Source organism: Homo sapiens, chromosome 2 (assembly GCF_000001405.40).
Source record: "Homo sapiens chromosome 2, GRCh38.p14 Primary Assembly".
Lineage (NCBI taxonomy): Eukaryota > Metazoa > Chordata > Mammalia > Primates > Hominidae > Homo > Homo sapiens.
Window position 1 is genome coordinate 52,137,266 of NC_000002.12, and position 19,927 is coordinate 52,157,192.

The 19,927-nt window shown below is 34.1% G+C and overlaps 2 long non-coding RNA genes across 2 annotated transcripts in view; one reads left to right on the forward strand and one right to left on the reverse strand.

The window, feature by feature from the left end:
- Nucleotides 1–19,927, forward strand: part of NRXN1-DT (NRXN1 divergent transcript) — a 1,375,317-nt gene that overhangs the window by 1,104,665 nt on the left and 250,725 nt on the right. The window lies entirely within an intron of this gene.
- Nucleotides 8,547–11,008, reverse strand: LOC107985766 (uncharacterized). Its single transcript, XR_001739091.1, has 3 exons — nt 10,930–11,008; nt 9,452–9,567; nt 8,547–8,874 (listed from the first exon to the last, which is right to left on the reverse strand). It is a non-coding gene; the product is annotated as an uncharacterized LOC107985766 (long non-coding RNA).

Sequence of the window (19,927 nt, forward strand, 5' to 3'; positions counted from 1 at the left end):
AGAAAATACAGGATAAGCCCCCTAATTTAGGTCAGTTGATTAGCAAGCTTAATTCCATCTGCAAACTTAATTTCCCTTTGTCATATAATCTGTCATAATCATAGGTTCTTGGGATTAAGATGTGTGTACCTGAAGAGGTTGGGGATGGAGTCATTATTTTGCCTACCACAGTTATTGAAATGTAGATCTATACAACTAGAGAACATAATGTATTTGAGACATTGGTGTAAGAATAGTAAAAAATAGTTAAAAACTGGAAGAATATAAAAATTGGTCTTCAAAATTATGTAAAACATTAAAAGCAGCTCAAACAATCTCACCTTTAGTAAAATACTTAAGTATTTGATTTTCTTTCTCTGGATTGTCCTGCTTCTTCACTGTAGGTCTTATGGACATGGAGAAAGGTACTTTGGATCAGATTTCCCTGAGTCTTTGGTCCTTGACTTGAATCCTAAGGGTTTACTAGGAGTTTTTTGGTCAGGGGAAAGGAGAAAATTCTGACCAGAGTCAACCAGGTGTGCAAAGCCAAATTGTCATTTTATCTTTGGGGAATGACACATAGTTCACTATGACTGGAAGGCAGATTAAGTATAATGCACTGACAGGGCATGAAGTTGGAAATATAGGCAAGAGTTTGATTACTTTTACCTAAGTTATGGTTATTGTATTACTTTTAGTGTATAGAATTCCCTTGAAGGATATTATAGTTGAGACTGACTTTAGAATGGAGGCGGTAGGAGATAATTATGATGGTCAGTTATAAGACCTGTGATTGTATGGGTGAAAATGACACATCATCAGAAAACTATCCATAGGTAAAAAGATTATGTAGAAAAACTGAGATATTTAGGAGTATAGTAAAAAAGACTTTCTCACAGATCATATATAAGGAGTAAGAGTGTCATGGTAATCCTCAAGGTTTTTAGCTATAATATTGCATTTCATCAAATAGGAAATAAGAGAGGAGATAGTTTTGGAGGGATATGATGGGCCATTTGGACAGATTGAATATGCATCATGCAAATAGAGATGTTCAGTAGAAGATCTGGAGGTCTTGAAGGAGACAGGGAAAAGACTCATGGATTGAGGATTCATGTCTACTTGGGTGGTACTAGAACCTATGGGAGCTGGTTAGGGAAAGAAGTGTAGGGATACTTAGTTTAAGATAAATGTGTCACTTGTGGTCATCAAAAGGTCTGATCACCCTAAACTGATGTAAAGAATTCTCTCTATATATGCATTATTTCGGGCAAAAACTTGTAACTTCCATGAGACTGTCAAAATGATCCACGGTCAGATTTATAAGATTTATAAGATACTTCTAGGGACAGAACATTAATTCTTAAAATGTAGTAAGAAAATGGAAATGGTAACTATAGCCTAGTTTTTCAGGATGTTCAATAGAAATAAAAAACATATAACTAAGACAACAGCTAGAGAAGTTTCAATGCCTAAGGTAGAAAGACATAGTAGAATTATGAGCTTCTCAGGCTGAGGAAAATGAGTACATAGAGAGGGAGACTAAAGGCTCAGGAAAGGGAGACTGAGGATTGTGAAAGAGAGTAAAATGTGATCAGGCCATGAGAAGATTGAGGGGCTAGAAAGGACATGGAAGAGAAATTACCTTTGCATGAGAAGTGGTGTACTTTTTTTCAAGGACAGAGAAAAACATGAAATGCTGTAGATATGCAGTTTCTCAGTGAGCTTATGTGTTTGTATTTGTGTATGTATGTGAGAATTTTGTTTCAGATGCCAGGAAGGTGCATGAGTCTACTGCGAATTTTGTAAAATTGGAAGCAGAGACATTTAAGAATAAGGAGAGTTAAAATTTTAATTTATATCAACTTAATAGAAAGTGAAGTCACCCAAGGTACTGCGATATAACTGCTAAGCAAAAATTACATCTATGTTTTCAAAGTAGAAAAAATAGAGTTGAGAAACAAATGCTTGTTTTTATCAAGCATTAAACTACATGTAAAAACATACAATATTTGCTCCCTATGTGTTTTTCTAAACATATCATTTTAGTTTCTCATTTATAGCAGTAAAAACACATACATGGTTTCTCTTTGCAAACTTGATGTTCACTGGGAAACAAACTGCAGATACAGGCATAGGGAATTAAATTGCTTTCACATAAAAAGTCCATGTTTCTGTTTTAATCAGAAATTTATGCAGTACCTTCTGCACTAGTATCATCTGCTCAGCACTCAAGCTGCCAGTTAAATATAATAGAGACTTCCCCAGAAATTCACTTCTACATAGAATCACATTTTCTAAAGTGGTTTTTGACATTGCATATAAAATCTCCATCTTCTACTTGTCTTATGTACAATTCCAAGTAGTTGCATAGGAAATATATGTGAAAGTAGCTTTTGTTCATTTAACTATTAATTCAGATGTCAGCCTGTTTGCCTACTTGGGAAATACAAAATGTGTTTGTCATTGGAACTGTTGAGATAGTTAGCATATAATCAGAGTCCCATAAGTAAACAGTTCTGGGAAGATACTAGGCTAGAATGAAGCCATCTCTACCTAAAAGACATAGTATAATGCAGACAATATAGATAAGATTCCATTTAACATGCATCCATGGCTTGCATATTGGTGATAAAGTCTGTAAATACAGCACTTAAATATAACATTTGTGTCTCTATCACATTTAAACCAATAATACTATCAAAGTCAGGAATTGGTAGACTATGGCCTGTGGGTCTAATTATTGTCTGATTTTGTCAAGAAGGTTTATTGGTTATTGGATTACAGCCACACGATCGTTTACATAATGTTTATGACTGCTTATGTGTTAGAATTGAGTAGTTGGGACAGAGACTTGATGGTCCACAAAGCCTCAATAAATTTTACAGACTAATTTTGCCAACCCCCAGTCTAAGAAATGGGACAGACATGCATATAAGCACATTGACATACCCAAGAGTGAAGCATATTAATATAGATTAAGATAAGAGCAAAGATTTGTAGAATACTTTACAAAAATTTTTGAATAACCAGTAGCATTATTCATTCTTACAAAAACTTATCAGGTATATATTATTGTTGTAACTGTTTCAAAGGTAAAGGCAAGTAGCCCACACCTGGAGTGTATGATTTCTGCTACTGGTAGCAGAAGTGTTGAAGTGAAACAGTTAAACTACACCACCAGGGTTTGAATCCAGGGTCCTGCAATTACTAATTACATGGCCCTGGGCAAGTTTCTTAACATCTCTCTTCATACAGAGTCTTCATCTGTAAACTGGGGATAACAAACCTTATCAGGTGGTTTGCTATGATGTGTGTTAATAATGAGAAGCTCTTGGAAAGATAATTTGAGAATGAAATACTGTATAGCAAATAATATCTATTCTTAGGGTCAATTGTCAGATCTTTTAATACTCAAATGGCTACACAGTCTTCCCATTACACCACATCTGCTTCTAAGCTCTGCATTTCAAGTTGTCTCACTCTCTGAGGTTGTTTTTGACACCAGATGTATTTTCTGCACATAGAGAAATATGTCTCAGTTATGTAAATGGGCAAAATCAAAACTTTGTTTTGGCCAAGTAGCAATTGTTCATTAAACATCTGTGGTATTTAAACAAATATAAAATTTTCAACTTGATTTATTTCTATTGTCACACAAGAAATGAAACCCGTGCTAAATTCACTAAAATATTTAATTATATTATTTTAAACAAGACTTAATAAATACATTTTTATTTGTCTGTGCTTTGGCAGACTTAAATAGCTATTTTATTCTTAACAAATAGTATGAGTACAAGCCTAACCTAAGTAAGTCTCCAGTTGCATTTTAAAGAAAAAAAATGAGTATTTGCCTGTTTCACTGGCTTTACGTATAGAAATTGCTAACTGCCTCTAAATCAGGATGATGCCTGTGCTTTCTCAGCATGAAAATATTAGATGATATGCAAATTAAGCTCAAAAGAGTCATAGCTTCATCTGTTTGCAGTGCAGACAAGGACTTATCTTAGTAAAATGCCATGTCAAACTCTAAATTTAGTGGTTTCTTTTGGCTCTAGAACTTGCATTACATTATATGCTAATGCATTCTTGAAAGTATTGGAGAGCTTAATATTGACACAGAGCAAGATTAGTCTGTGTCATAAATTACTTCACTAGTGACCCTTAGTGTCTTGGGGACTTTCCATTGTGAAGGTAAGAGATGTTTTCTGTAATATTTAATACTTGAAAAAGAGAATTAGTGATTCAGATTAACAAACATTCAATATATATAACTAGAGACAAATCCTATCGGAAAGGAAAAGAGAATGACCATTTACTTGGCCTTTATCATAGGTAATTCTAGGGGAAATACCACAAAAACTAAGTAATCCATTTAAATGACTAGTCCTAAGTAATTAAAATGATCTGTGATATAATTAAATGTGTAGTGAAATTTTAATTGGAAATTAGAGCACTGTGTATTAAGCACAAAAACAATTCATTCAACTTATATAAAGTTGATACTTTCTACAGTGCCATGTATAGAAATTGAATAGTAAATTTCAAAGAAACACTCTATTTTGAATTACTATTCATAACATTATTTCCATGGAGAGTCACATGCAAAAAATATGTAGAATTTACTCTTCTCGTCAGAAAAATCACTTGATTATCCACCTAGTCATTGTTGAACAAATACTATGGGCTTTTTTGCTGTGAAGAAAAAATTGCTGGAAAACATATTTCACTTTAGAATGCCATCATTTCAGTTGGGAAATCAAGGCATCTATCCACATAAAAAGTATCCAGAACACACAACACTCTTAAATCAGTGACATAGCAGGGCATTCTATTTAATATTGTTCTACAGAGCATGATGTCTTTAGTCATTAATATTTACTGAATACTTCCTAGTTTTAGAGATTATTCTGGGCACTTAAATAATTCCATCATGGAGAAGTGGGAAGTCCTAATGCTTAGGTTTATTCACATGTGCAGTGTAGGCTGCTGAGAACTAGTTGCCATCATAGTCAAGTCTTAGAAGTAACAATGGTTTGAAGTTAAGGCAATTATGTTGCTGTTTTAGTCTTATATTCTTCCCCATCCTAACTGCCAAGACTTAAGTTTTGTGAACATTAATTTTTATGAACTCTTTGTAACCCTACTGAAGAGGTGAATAATGATGGCATAGAATGAATCTTTGTATACTTTTTATTATAAGTAATAAAGAAGAAAGATTTTGCTTTGTTTTATTGACTGAGGAGTTATTTCCATTTCCCCTATAAAAAGTCCCTCTGTCCTTTAGAATATGCTATTAAGTAGTGTGTCAATTTGATGATTTAATTTTAAATACATCACTTTATAAGGATAAAACAACTAAAAGGACTGCCAAAATGACGCATTTTCATTTACAAATGTTTACCAATTACTTTACAACCCTAACTTACATATTTATAGAACTGACAAGAGTTTAGTGTATCTCTCTTTTTATTATTCAAGAAATCTGTCAAAGAAAGGTAATAATGCTGGATAGTATCTTACAACTTTAAAATTGAAATTATATTTTTGATGGATAATTTTGTTCATTATTGATCCACAATTAAGATTACTAATACTCACTAAAAAGTCGGTTATTTTCTTTTGTTTATCTCACCTAGTGCTAGAAAAACCCAAAACACTGAGAAAGAAATGGCAACTCTAAATGCAGGGTTGAGAAGATAACAGGACTTGTGAAATACATACAGATTACACACTTTTTGATGGAAAAACTTTTTGTGTAGTTGTTATAGACTCCCAGGAAAGGATATTCATTACAGTAGAAATTTGATGAATGGGTCAAATATTTGTAGAGCATTCTAAAATTTAAGGTCAATATTGTAAAGGCCTTGAAAATTTGCATTATCTAGGCTATACAAAAACTGAATTGAAAATAAAAACAGCAGTATATTCCATTAGAAGAATAATGAACACCTTCCCAAGGCTTGTTTTGATAACCTTCTCTGGTCATTGTCCCCACAGTCCATTGTGTAGAATAAATGGTAATTTACTAAAGCAGAGAGCTTTTCTTGGCATTCTTTGACTCTAAAGATGTCCTAAGCAAGAAACAAAGCTTGTCACGATACGGTACACATCAGCCTCTCTGTAGATTGGCCAGGCTACCACCATTGCAAATATGTCTTGTGCTGCTTTCTAAGAAATTGCGACCCTTTGTAGAACATACAGATTTTTTCATTTTTTGCCTTCTTCGGGGCTAAGTGAAATACTAGCTAAGCAAACTAACCTATATATGTAAGTATGACTGAACAGTTGAAAATCTATTAATAATACAATTCAGCAGAACAGTGCTAAGAAAGAAACTACATATTATCGTCAATTATCACGTTCATAAATGAATCAAGCACTGGATACAATTAAATACTCATTTCTATTTTTAAAAGTTAATAATAAGAGAAATACACAGATGTTTTTCTAAACATATTTTACTGTAGAGGACAAGGGAAAGTTTTTCCTCTGCCCCCTGAAGGCTCACTGAAAATGAATTGACAACAGGCCGATTCATAGGTAAAAAAAGCACACAAATTGGTTTAACATACATAAGCACTGGAGAATCACAGGAGAGTGATTACTAAATAATTCAATGAGGTACAGATGTTTATATATCTTTGTTCATAAAGGAAGAAAGATGGGAAATTGTGACCATTCTGAAGGGTGGTAAATGACGTGCAGGGGGAATGTTTGAGGCCCAATACTTAGACAATATTTAATAAATGATTCTCTCTGGGAATTGAATAGGAGTGGAGAACAGACTACAGTTTGGGACAAGGATTGTCTGTTCTGTACGTGTAGTATTTAATTTTCAATCTCTTCCTCCGTGGTGTGAGTTTTAATCGCCTCTGGTTAATGACATTTGAGGGAAAGAATAGAAGGCAATTGTGTTCTTTGGCAGGTCCAGTTTCTGGGTTGATAGGTTGATAAGGGAGCTTCAGAGAAGAGTCTCACTGTGTGCTTTGAGCGAGACAAAGATTGAGAGAGGGCAGAGGGCAAGGTCAAAAAGACTTTGAAGCTGCTTCTTTAGTTCAGCATGTCGAGGGACCATATTTTGGGGTATCATTTCCCAAGCACCAATAATGCATATACCTATATATGCACATACGTATACATACACACACACACGCACACCTCTAAAACTGTGACCATCAGTATTGATAGTTGAATGCTAAAGCATGTATCCATAGTAATGTTTGAATGTAAAGGCATAAATCTTTAAAATCAGAACAAATTTTTTTTAACTCTACTTCTGAGGCAGGAGAACAGGGTCTGGGGGCAGGGAACCTAAGAACTTTCTAGAACAAAATCAAACAGAAAAACCTCAACTTTCTAAGACCAAGTAAATAACTTTGTAACTCTACTTCAGCTATGACAGGAAACATCCAGTTCATTTGCATAGGGTGTACCTCAAGTAAATAACTATGCAACTTTGTAGCCTCTTCATTTACATAGGGCATAAGCCAAATAACCAATGGGGAGTCTCTGGAGGATATTTAAACCCCAGAAAATTCTGTGACTGGGCCCTTGAGCCGCTTGCTTGACCTGCTGCCACCCTGTGGAGTGTCCTTTCATTTTCAGTAAATCTCTGCTTTTGTTGCTTCATTCTTCCCTTGCTTTGTTTGGGCGTCTTGTCCAATTCTTTGTTCAAAACGCCAAGAGCCTGAACACCCTCAACCGGTAACACTTTTACAGTAGGAAAAGTTTAAGTACATCATATTTGATAGGCACATTAACTTTAATGTAAATTATTTTGTGGATATGTATTGAATAGTAGTCTTTGATAATCCAGATACTTTACAAATAATGACTCTCCAAGGGGTTTTTTAGATTCTGACCTAGATACTTTGATCAGACAAGCAGATAACAGTAGTATTTCACTTTGAGTGGAACTTTGTAAATAAATGAACACTCTCTCTCATGTCCTATGCTATTTATAAATTGTGCATTAGCTTAAGTAGTCAGTGGATGTCAGCATTGTTGTACTAAAATCTGCTTGCCAGTATTATTTTTGACTTGCAAGTTTATAATTCTTAAGTCTTACCAAAAGTAATTTTCTCTATTGTTTTGATCTGAGAAACAAAGGAAAAATGTATATGATAAAACACAAAGGCCTCTTAGAAAATGAATAAGTTATCTTTAAATATAGTCATATCTATTATGTATGATTTATGACATTTGAGGCAAAACAAATATCTATTGATAAAAAAAACTAATCCTTTTTGTCACCAATATGCCACAGCTTGACCAGGACAGACCTCCTTATAGGAAAGGTGGAAGCAAAAAGTGTTTCTCTCTTTCTTTTTTAGAGAAGTGGAAAGATAGCTTTATTCTTAGCATATGCAATGATATTTTAATAAATTTTTAATTGCAGCTTACCATAGTTTTTATTTTAAAACATAAAAGTACTTTTAAAATAGTTGCATTGAGTTAGTTGTTTTACACATATAAACTATACGGGAATCAGGATGAAGTGATTCGACAGAGATTCTGTTAGTTATTTTGGATTATATATGACTCATAGCATCCAGGTTTCATCCATGCCTTCATTATGCAGTGAGAAATTTGTCTTCATTTCACTGTAATATGTACAGAAATCTCCCCAACGAAAGGAAATACACACCCTGATGCACCACATGACCTCCCATCTATAATCCCCTTTATTTGCTGCATTTGGCAGGAGAATGCTGAGAGAAAAGGTGCCTCTGAGCCCATAGAACATGTTCAAAGCAGAGCTCTTACCCGAAGCAAGAGAGAAAGACCACAGCAGGTAACATCACAGCCACTGGCAGAGCCTGTGATCCAGGCCTGTGGACCTCCACATCATTCCATGAAAGTGACATTTGAAGATAATACCTTGATCAAACACTAAAATGCAAAGAACCAGTAATAATTATCCTGAAACATAAAGATGTATGGATCAGGGCAATACACCATTCATAGTAGAAGAGCAGAGTGGATCTGGGCGATTTTCACATCTGCATTGGTTAAAGGTTTATCAATATCTTATTGAAGGAAACCAAAGTCCAATTTGAGAAATCACTGCATTCCCTTTGAAATGAATTACACATATGTACATTAAAAAACAGTATCTCACGTTTGTTTATTATTATCTTAATTATCTGCCATTTGGATTTAAGATATTGATGCTAAAGTGGGAAAAACCAGTGACATAGAGGACACTTAAAGCAATGGTTCCCAAACCTTTTTGTCTAAGAATATTTAAACTCTTAAAAAAAATTAAGGACCCTAAAGAGCTTATGTGTGCATGAATTTTAGCTATGAATATTTGCCAATTTAGAAATTAAAACTAACAATATTAAAAGAAATAATTTATTAATTTATTTAACACTAAAAATAAATTCATTACATTTTAACATAAAACATGTTTTAAATAAATATATTTTCCAAAATCAAAAAATCAGTAAGAAGTGTCATTTCTTACTTTTTTGAAAATCTCTGTTTTAGCTGGCTTAATAGAAGACAGCAAGATTCTTCTATCTGCTTCTTCATTCAATCAGTTGTGGCATGTCATATCGGTTGGTATATGTGGAGAAAATCCTTTATCACACAGACATGTAATTAGAAAAGGGAGGAACATTTTAATAGCCATCTCAGATAATTATGAATATTCTTCTTTTGTATGACATCAAAACTTGAACAAATTGTAGTTCTTAAAAGGCAGTTTCAATACAGAATTCAGAACTGTATAGCTACACTTTTTCTACTGTTTTGGGGTCTTGCATTAAAATTCATTTTAATCTATCTTACACAATGAATGGATATTTTACTCATGATGATTTTGTAACATGCATTGGTCATTTAGGAAATACTTGTTCAACGGGTTATCCAGCTTTTCCAAATATTGACACACTTTAAATAATATCAAAAATCGTATTTGTTAATAAAAGCACAGACCTCAGTAGAAAAGTCTTTATGCATTGGAAACCTATCAAGCTTATGGTGGCAGATATGTTTTCCATAATTCTGGAGCATATACAGATTAGAATATCTCAGCTTTTATCATTAGCCATTTTCTAGTGGTTTTTTATTTTTATTTTTTAATTATACTTTAAGTTCTGGGATACATGTGCAGAACGTGCAGGTTTGTTACATAGGTATACACGTGCCATGGTGGTTTTCTGCACCCATCAACCCGTCATCTACATTAGGTATTTCTCCTAATGCTATCCATCCCCTAGTCTCCCATACCCTGACAGGCCCCACTGTGTGATGTTCCCTTCCCTGTGTCCCTGTGTTCTTATTGTTCAACTCCCACTTATGAGTGAGAACTTGCATTGTTTGGTTTACTGTTCCTGTGTTAATTTGCTGGTTTCCAGCTTCATCCATGTCCTTGCAAAGGACATGAGCTCATCTTTTTTTATATCTGCATAGTATTCCATGGTGTATATGTGCCACGTTTTCTTTATCCAGTCTACTATTGATGGTCATTTGGGTTGGTTCCAAGTCTTTGCTATTGTGAACAGTGCTGCAATAAACATACATGTGCATGTATCTTTATAGTAGAATGATTATAATTCTTTGGGTAATGGGATTGCTGGGTCAAATGGTATTTCTGATTCTAGATCCTTGAGGAAGTCAGGAAACAACAGATGCTAGAGAGGATATGGAGAAATAGGAACGCTTTTACCCTGTTGGTGGGAGTGTAAATTAGTTCAACCAGTGTGGAAGACAGTGTGGTGATCATTAGCCATTTTTAAGTAAAGTGTTCACATTATTCATTTCTGAAATAATGTCGATCAAATACCCAATACTGAATAGCCATAATTTGTGTATGTCATTCTTTCAATTTAAATAATGTTCTAAAAGAACATTTAATTCAATTGCTTACAACTTAAATAATTATATAGATTTTTATTTTTTTTTATTTTTGTTATTGTTCCTTTGAAATAACTGTCTCACATTGGTATGCAGCAGAAGAGCTTGATGTGGACTGCTTTGTTAGCCATCTAGGGGTTCTCCGCTGAGCCCATGTGACTCAAAATTGGACCTTGTCCATTGGATGATTTCTGCAAAAACAGCAGAATAAATAGCTCCAAGAGGTTGTCTCTCCACAGAAATATCAAAAATCAGAGATTCTATGACCTTCAAAGCTTAAGGTAGTCATGATTTGGTTTTCACAGAAAAAGTTGCTGACCTCTGAATTTGATCATTAGATTCATAGACATGATGCACCTTAACAACGTAACATGGCTTAGTTCAAAATGCCCAAGAGAAGTAGATTTGAAATAACTTCATGGTATTTATCCAGTCTCACTCTGTCGCCCAGGCTGGAGTACAATGGTGTGATCTCAGCTCACTCCAACCTCCGACTCCCGGGTTCAGGCAATTCTCCTGCCTCAGCCTCCTGAGTAGCTGGGATTACAGGCATCCACCATCATGCCCGGCTGATTTTTTTTTGTATTTTTGTAGAGACGAGGTTTCACCATGTTGGCCAGGCTGGTCTCGAACACCCGACCTCAGGTGATCCACTTGCCCTGGCCTACCAAAGTGCTGGGATTACAGGTGTTAGCCACCGCACCCAGCTGAACCTTTTGCTTTTAACACGATAGTAAAATTCTGGTTACTTTGACAATGCCTGCACACCACTCTGTAGCCTAAAAAAATTGTGATTTCGAAGCCAATTAACCTCATTCCTGATAATAATTAAAAATAAATAGACTCTATAATATTTAGTAACTGTCAAGCACTAAGTAATTATTATGAGTGATCCATCAAGGCAACTGTCGAACAGCTCATCCTGTTGACTGCAGGCAAATTTCTTACTAATAAAGTAATGAAAATCCATACTTTCCTGAGTTTACACACAGCAAATGATGCAAACATAGATCCAATCTTTGAGCTGTCTACTGAGGGCACAGAAAATGACATAGATTATTCCTACTCATTTTAAAACTTAAGGTTCATTTTGTCTTGCAAATGCAAACAAACAAAAACAAAAAAACAAAAATCTTACTTGACTGTGATGTTTAAAAACGTAAACACATGTATGAACAAATTCCTATCGTTTCTGTGCTTGGCCGGCCTCAGCTCTGTTTTATTATAATCTGTACAGCTCTTTAATTATTTTAAGCTCTATGTGAGTGTTAAGGAGTGAAATTTGTGTCCCCCAAATATTCACATATTGAAATACTAACCACCACTGTGATGGTATTAGAAAGTGGGGCTTTTGAGAAGTAATTAGATTGTGAGGTAGATCTATCATGAATGGGATTAGCACCCTTATTAGATGAAATAAGATAGCTTTCTCTTTCTTTTCTCTGCCATGTGAGGATACAGCAAGAAGACATCCATTTGAAAAAGAGGAAGCATGTCCCCACCAGACACTTGATCTGTCAGGGCTTTTGTCTTGGCTTTTCTAGCCTCCAGAACTGTGAGAAATTCATTTCAACTTTTTAAGCCACCCATTCTGTGGTATTCTGTTGTAGCAGTCTGAGCTAAGACACTGACATAGAAACTAAAGCACAAACTCTTCGAGTTCTGAGCTTTCTGCCCCTACATAGTTAAATTATCTATATTCCTGACAGCTTTCCTGGTCAGAGCTTTCTTTTATAATGGATTTTAAAATGAATTGCTGCCAGTAGAGCAGACTATCAATTTAAATGTATCTATAGGTACTATGAAATACAACTCTTACTTGGTTTGTCAAAATACCTCCATATAGACAGGAAACAGCATAATATGATATAATTAATAGATAATTTGTTTTGTGGACAATTTAGTGAGTAATCTTTCTCCCTGTATTTACTAAACCTAAAGAGTAGGCCAAAATATCTCAACGTAGGTAGAGACATAAATTATTCTAAGGGATAATTAAATATCTTCTTCTGTATATAATCATTAAATTATATTTTACAGAGGAAATATTAACGTAGGAAATATTTGCAAGGCTTTTGTTTTTCAATTTAGAAATTTTGTGTTCCAGGACACTGCTAATAGAGTTTTAAACTTCATCTTCACAATTTCCTAAATAATATAGACTAGACAGATGCTAATATATATGATGGCTCATTATCGTTTGAAATAAGTTATATTTCCTTAAGTACCTGAAATAAGAATGGATAATGATCATTATGGAGCAAATTCAAAAAAAAAAAAAAGTAGGATAAAGAACACTGCAAATTATATCAACTTGAACTTCAAATATTGTATGTAATGAAGCAACTTCAATTTACGGTTCGATAACAGGGTCTTTCTGCCATTACATAAAATTTACACCTATGGATGTGTAAGCTAGAGTGTGATGCATGTATTAAATGGTTAAATATTTCATTTATCAATGCCATTCTTGGCAGTAAATTCTTCACTGCTGAAGAATCATCAACACAATGTTATAAAAGCATAAATTATATTTATAATGAACTTAAGGCTTTATCTAAAACATCTTAGACACAAGTATATATTAATTTTAAAAATCTTCAGAAGAGATAATTCTATATATTCCTTTCCCAACTTCTAGATTATAGACTCCTCATTCTGCATAAATTAACTGCATTAAGTTTTACTTTATGTATTAGTCTGTTCTCATGCTGTTAATAAAGACATATCCAAGACTGGGTAATTTATAAAGGAAAGAGGCTTAATTGACTCACAGTTCTATAGGGCTGGGAAGCATCAGGAAACTTCCAATCATGGCAGAAGATGAAGCAAACACATAGCAGCAGCAAGGAGAAGTGCAGAGCAAAGTGGGGGAAAGCCCCTTATAAAACCACCAGATCTTATGAGAACCGACTTGCTATCATGAGAACAGCATGGAGGTAACCAACCCCATGAGTCAATGACCTCCCACTGGGTCATTCCCATGACACATGGGGATTATGGGAACTACAGTTCTGGGTGAGGACACAGTCAAATCATATCAATTTATCTGTATGACATGTGGTATCCTCTTATCCTGTCCTCAGGGAAATAGAGGTATTGGTCAAAATAGATCAGTATTTAATAGGAAGTCATAATATGTTTCCCTATAAAATTTAACTTATAATTCTAAGAATTTCACTTAGTTTATCTCCCTCGTCTAGCTCAAATGTCATCTTCTCTATAATATCCACTGTAAATATTTTGCCTTTACCATGCAATTATAAACAGATTATTTTGGTGTCCTGCCCAGTTATTTCATGTCTGTCTTTACTTGTCATACCAATCAAGGACTATGTGTTTTATATTTTGGTAGCACTTACATAATTGCAAGGAAAATATATCAAACTAGTTGTCATGTTTAAAATATGGACTTTTAAAATAAAATCATCAAAGCAGGAGGCTACAAAGTCAACACATAATAGTTACATTTTAATACACTAAGAATGAAAGAAATTAAGAAAGCAATCCCATTTACAATAGTATCAAAAAGAATAAAATACTTAGGAATTAAGCAAGGAATTGGAAAACTCCTACACTAAAAATTACAAAACATTGCTGAAAGAAATTGAAGAAGACGTAATGGAAAGACTTTCACATTCATGAAGTAGAAGAAAATATTGTAAGATGTCAGTGCTACCCAAGATGATCTAAAATTCAATATGATCCCTATAAAAATCCCAATGATGTCATTTGCAGAAGTTGGAACAAAAATACTAAAATGTTATGAAATCTCAAGGTATCCTGAACTCTTTTTCACAAAGTTCTTTTTGGAGCAAAAAGAACAAAGCTGAAGATCTCACATTTCCTGATTTCAAACTTCCTAAAAGTCTACAGTAATAAAAAGAGTGGGGTACCGGCATAAAAGCAGACATACATACCTCCATAGAGAGTCCCAAAATAAACCCTCATACGTATGGTCAAGAGATTTTCAACAAGGGTGCCAAGATCATACAGTGGGAAAAGAAGAGTCTTTTCAACAAATGGTGCTGAGAAAACTGGATATTAAAAAAAAAAAAGATCAAAAGTATAAATGTAAACCTAACATTATAAAACTCTTAGAAGAAAACAGAGGACAAAGCTTTACAACCTTGGGTATGGCACTGATTTCTTTGATATGACAACAAAGGCATATGCAAGAAAAGAAAAAAATTAACAAATTGGACTTTATACAAATTTTGAAAACTTCTGCATCAAAAGACACTATCAAAACACTAAAAACCAACCCACTGAATGGGAGAAATTATTTGTAAATTATATACCTGATAGGGATTAATATCCAGAATATATGGAGACACAAAATACAATCTGATTCAAAAATGGTCGAAGGACTTGAACAGACATTTCTTCCATAGAAGATATTCAAACAACTAAGTGCATGAAAAGGTACTCAACACCACTAATCATTAGGTAAATGCAAATCAAAACTACAATGAGCTACCACCTCACCCCCATTATGATGGCCACTATTAAAAAAAATAGAAAATAACAAATGTTGGTGAGGCTGTGGAAAAATTCAAACTCTCGTGAAGTGTTGGTGGAAATGTAAAATGGTACATCCACTCTGAAAACAGTGTGGTGGTTCCTCAAAAATAAAATAAAAATAGAAATACCATATTATCCAAAAATGTTATTTCTGGGTATACACCCAAAGAATTAAAATCAAGGTTTCAAAGAGATATTTGTACAGTCTGTTAAAGCAGCATTTTTCACAATAGGTAAAAGATGGAAGCAAACCAAGCGTTTATGCATGCGTAAGTGAATAAGTAAAATAAATGTTCAATATAAAAACACTGGAATATTATTCAGCCTTAAAAAGGAAGGAAATTCTGACATTATTCACCAAAGTGGATGAATCTTGAGGATATTATGCTAAGTGAATTAAGCCAGTCACAAAAAGACAAATACTGTATAATTCTACTTACATTAGGTATTTAGAGTAGTCAAAATCAGAGAGACAAAGTAGAATTATGGTTTCCTGAGGCTGGTGGGAAGGAGAAATGAGGAGTTGTTATTTCTGGGGTATAGAATTCCAGTTTTACAAGAAGAAAACAGTTTTGAAGATGAATCATGGTGATAATTGTACAATACAAAGGTATTTAATGCCACTGAATTGTGCACTACAAATACTTAAGATGGAAATTTTATATTTTGTGTATTTTACCATAGTAAAAAAATTGAAGGAAAAGAAAGTCAATCCCCCATATTAATATTATTAACTATTTATCTAAAGCAATGGCTATCAAACTTGAATGTACATCAAACTCACTTGGAGGGCTTTTCATAAAGCATTGCTTGGTCTAACCTGGAGAGTTTCTGATTCAGAAGGTGAGGGTAAAACCTCAGCACTGGTGCTTCTAACAAGTGTTCAGGTGAAGCTGGTGCTGCTGGTCAAAGGACCATGGATCTAAATGAATGATACATTCTAGAAGAAATTCCAGTTTAAAAATAGAATAGTGTCAGGAAGGAAACATTTTAACGTTTCTACATGGATAGGACTTTCTGAGGATAGAAAACTGGAATCTGGGCTTATGAGAATTTGAAGTTAATAGTAATTAGACCATCAGAAGAAATACACCTGCTCAGTGGGATATGTTTACTTTTCAGAGAAAAAAATTGGAGCTGTGAAGGTATTCCAGGAGTCATAAATTCAGAGAGGCTAGACTTATTTTTCCCCTGGAAATAGTGATTTTATATTTGAAAGGATAAGAATCCTGGATATTTTCCTTTTTTATCCTAAGGGGTAATTTTTTTATCTTAGGAAGATATGTTTCTCTCCCTCTCTCAAGAGGGAAGTATGACTGTTGCATTAGTTGTCCTGTATAACCATCAGTGTTCTTCACCTGTAGTATAGACTCTAGTGTGTATATATATATACATATGTATATATAGTGTATATATAGTGTGTATATAGTGTGTATATATATATTGTGTGTATATATATATATAGTGTGCATATATATATAGTGTGTGCATATATATATATATATATAGTGTGTGTATATATATGTGGTATAGACTCTAGTGTATGTGTGTATATATATATATGTGGGATCTTATCTGATTCTCATTGTGTTTCCCCGAGAAAGGCAAAATTGGAGTGTGGGGAACGAGTGTGCCTCTTGCTGTAAATAAATGATAGTAAATCTCTGCCTGTCTCAGAAAACTCATGTCATGTCTTACAGGAAAAAAATACTGATATAAAACATTATCAAATACATTATCATATGTACAATTTTTGAAGCCAGTGTTTTCTACAATCAAGCATCTCACTTTTAGGTATTTACCCAAATGAATACAAAATTTATGTCTGCACAAAAAAACTGCAAATAAATGTTTATAGAAGCTCTATTTATAATTGCCAAAACTTGGAAGCATGCAAGATGTCCTTTAATAGGCAAATAGAACAGCAAACTGTTGTACATTTGTACAGTAAGATATCATTCTGTGATTAAAAAATGAGTTATTAATTACAAAAAGATGTTGAGGAGACTTAAATACACATTGCTAAGCAAAAGAAGCCTATCTGAAAAGGATTTTTACCATACTGTCCGACTGTATGACATTCTGAAAAAGACAAAATTAAGACAACCAATGGTTGTCAGGAGTTTGAAGGATGGAGGGAAGATAAAATAATGGAACACAGCAGATTTTTAGGACAGATAAACTATTCTGCATAATCCTGTAATGGCGGTACATGTCATTACACATTAGGCAAAATGAGTAGAATGTCCAAAAGGAGTGAATCCTAGTATGTTATAGAGGTATTTAATAATGTATCAATTTGGCTTATCAATTGTAGCAAATGCATCACAATAACGTCAGATGTTAATAACAGAGGAAACTGGAGTGTTGTGGGTGTAGGTTAGGGGAAAAAAGAGTGGAGGATATGGGAACTCTGAATTTTCCACTGAGTTTTTCTATAAACATAAAAATACTCCAACAAAACAAACAAATGAAACCACTCCAACAAAGTTTATTAATTTAAAAATGAAAATACAACAGATTAATCCTTTCTATTTCTAATTAAAATCATTTTAAATTGGAATAAAAGCCACCACGAATAACAGTTTTTTAGTTTTTTGTTTGTATATGCTGGCTTCTCAGCCCTTTGAAAATATTTTTTCTTCTGTCAGAATTTTTTTGGCTCCAATCACTTTTGTGTTCTATTTTAATTTTTCCAATAACAATAAAACAATCATACTTCTATGTTTCTCCTTCTTTTCTAATACAATTGTCAAGAGCAAGTGGATTAATTTGTATAAAATATATATTTATACATTTATTTATAAGTATATAGTTTATAAATAATTTAATTATACTACAATTAAATATATTTATATATGTATATAATATATATGTATGTATTATATACATGTATAATTTATATATATAAATTATAAAGACTCACAACTTCTGCTTTTGCTGTGGCAGTTAAAAGCCAACAACAGAAGTGAAAATAAACCTCTTGGCACAATACAAAAGTCAGTGAATACTATTAAAGTAAAAAAATCAGTGTAGTTCCTAATTGCTAATGCCTAAGGCCTGAATAAGTGTGTTTTATGCATATCAAAAATCCTTTTTCCCTCGGTTTTGTTTCCTAAGTTCAATGTTTGGGAATACATAATACAGTACCTAATGCTTTTCTCTTTTCAACTTACTTTCTAAATTAATTTAAAGATAGACACAAGATACAGACAAACGGGCCGGGCGCGGTGGCTCACGCCTGTAATCCCAGCACTTTGGGAGGCCGAGGCGGGCGGATCACGAGGTCAGGAGATCGAGACCATCCCGGCTAAAACGGTGAAACCCCGTCTCTACTAAAAATACAAAAAAATTAGCCGGGCGTAGTGGCGGGCGCCTGTAGTCCCAGCTACTTGGGAGGCTGAGGCAGGAGAATGGCGTGAACCCGGGAGGCAGAGCTTGCAGTGAGCCGAGATCCCGCCACTGCACTCCAGCCTGGGCGACAGAGCGAGACTCCGTCTCAAAAAAAAAAAAAAAAAAAAAAAAAAAAAGATACAGACAAACGTTAGTTTTTAAAAATCGCCTTTATTATTGATGACAAATGTTGGAGGGTATAACTTAGGCATGTGTATTCAGAAAAAATGCATAAGACTTTCTTAGGCTATCATTCAAGGTCTTAGAAGGAAATAAAATTTGCCACATATGGTTCAAATAAAAATACTTTTATAAGTGACTTCTTAAAGGGAGATGTGGAGTTAAAAGGACAAATGATATTGAGAAACCTAGGGACAAAAATGTGTTGAAAGTAATTGCCAACATTTGGGGTGACGAAGCCGAGGGAAGAAATAGTGAAGCTGGAGCTCACTGGGAGTTAGAGCCACAGGGAAAGGTTTCCTGGTGGGAGCTGTAGTCACAGAGCAATGACTCTATGACCAGAGATGGACTTCCCCCCTCAAGCCCACAGGTATCTCTTCTCTACAAGGGTTTTCTCAACCACCACACCCAGGAGCTTGCTGAGGCAGACAGACATGGCTCTGAATAAAGTCAGGAAGTGGGAAAGGGAACACAGAGTTATGTAATCAGAGCCAGCTTAAACATAATAGAAAAGGGAGTCAGTATTTGTGTCCTCTGAGGAAAGGATTTTTACACATGTTCCATATGGTTTCTCAAGGTTGATTCTTACTTGCTTCTGGTGGCACTACACTAGAATTGCCAGATTAAGTAAATAAAAATACAGGGTGTCCACTTAAAATTGAATTTTAGACATGCAGTAAATAATTTTTAGGTTAATATGTCTCTTGCAAAATTTGGCATGTACTTATATGTAAAAAAAAGTATTTGCTGTTTATTTAAAATTTAAATTTACCTGGGTGCCTTGTATTTTATCTGGCAAGCCTCTACCACACTCAATAACCCTTATCCCATAATCCAATATGTGCCTCCTGAGTTCACCTTTCAAATAAATAGGTACTCAATTCATCATTTCAAGGTTTGGTTTTGGGAAAATGTTTTGCATGTGAACCTGATACAGTAAATGAAGCATTAGAAAATTTAGGAAAAATATTACAGTAAGACTTGG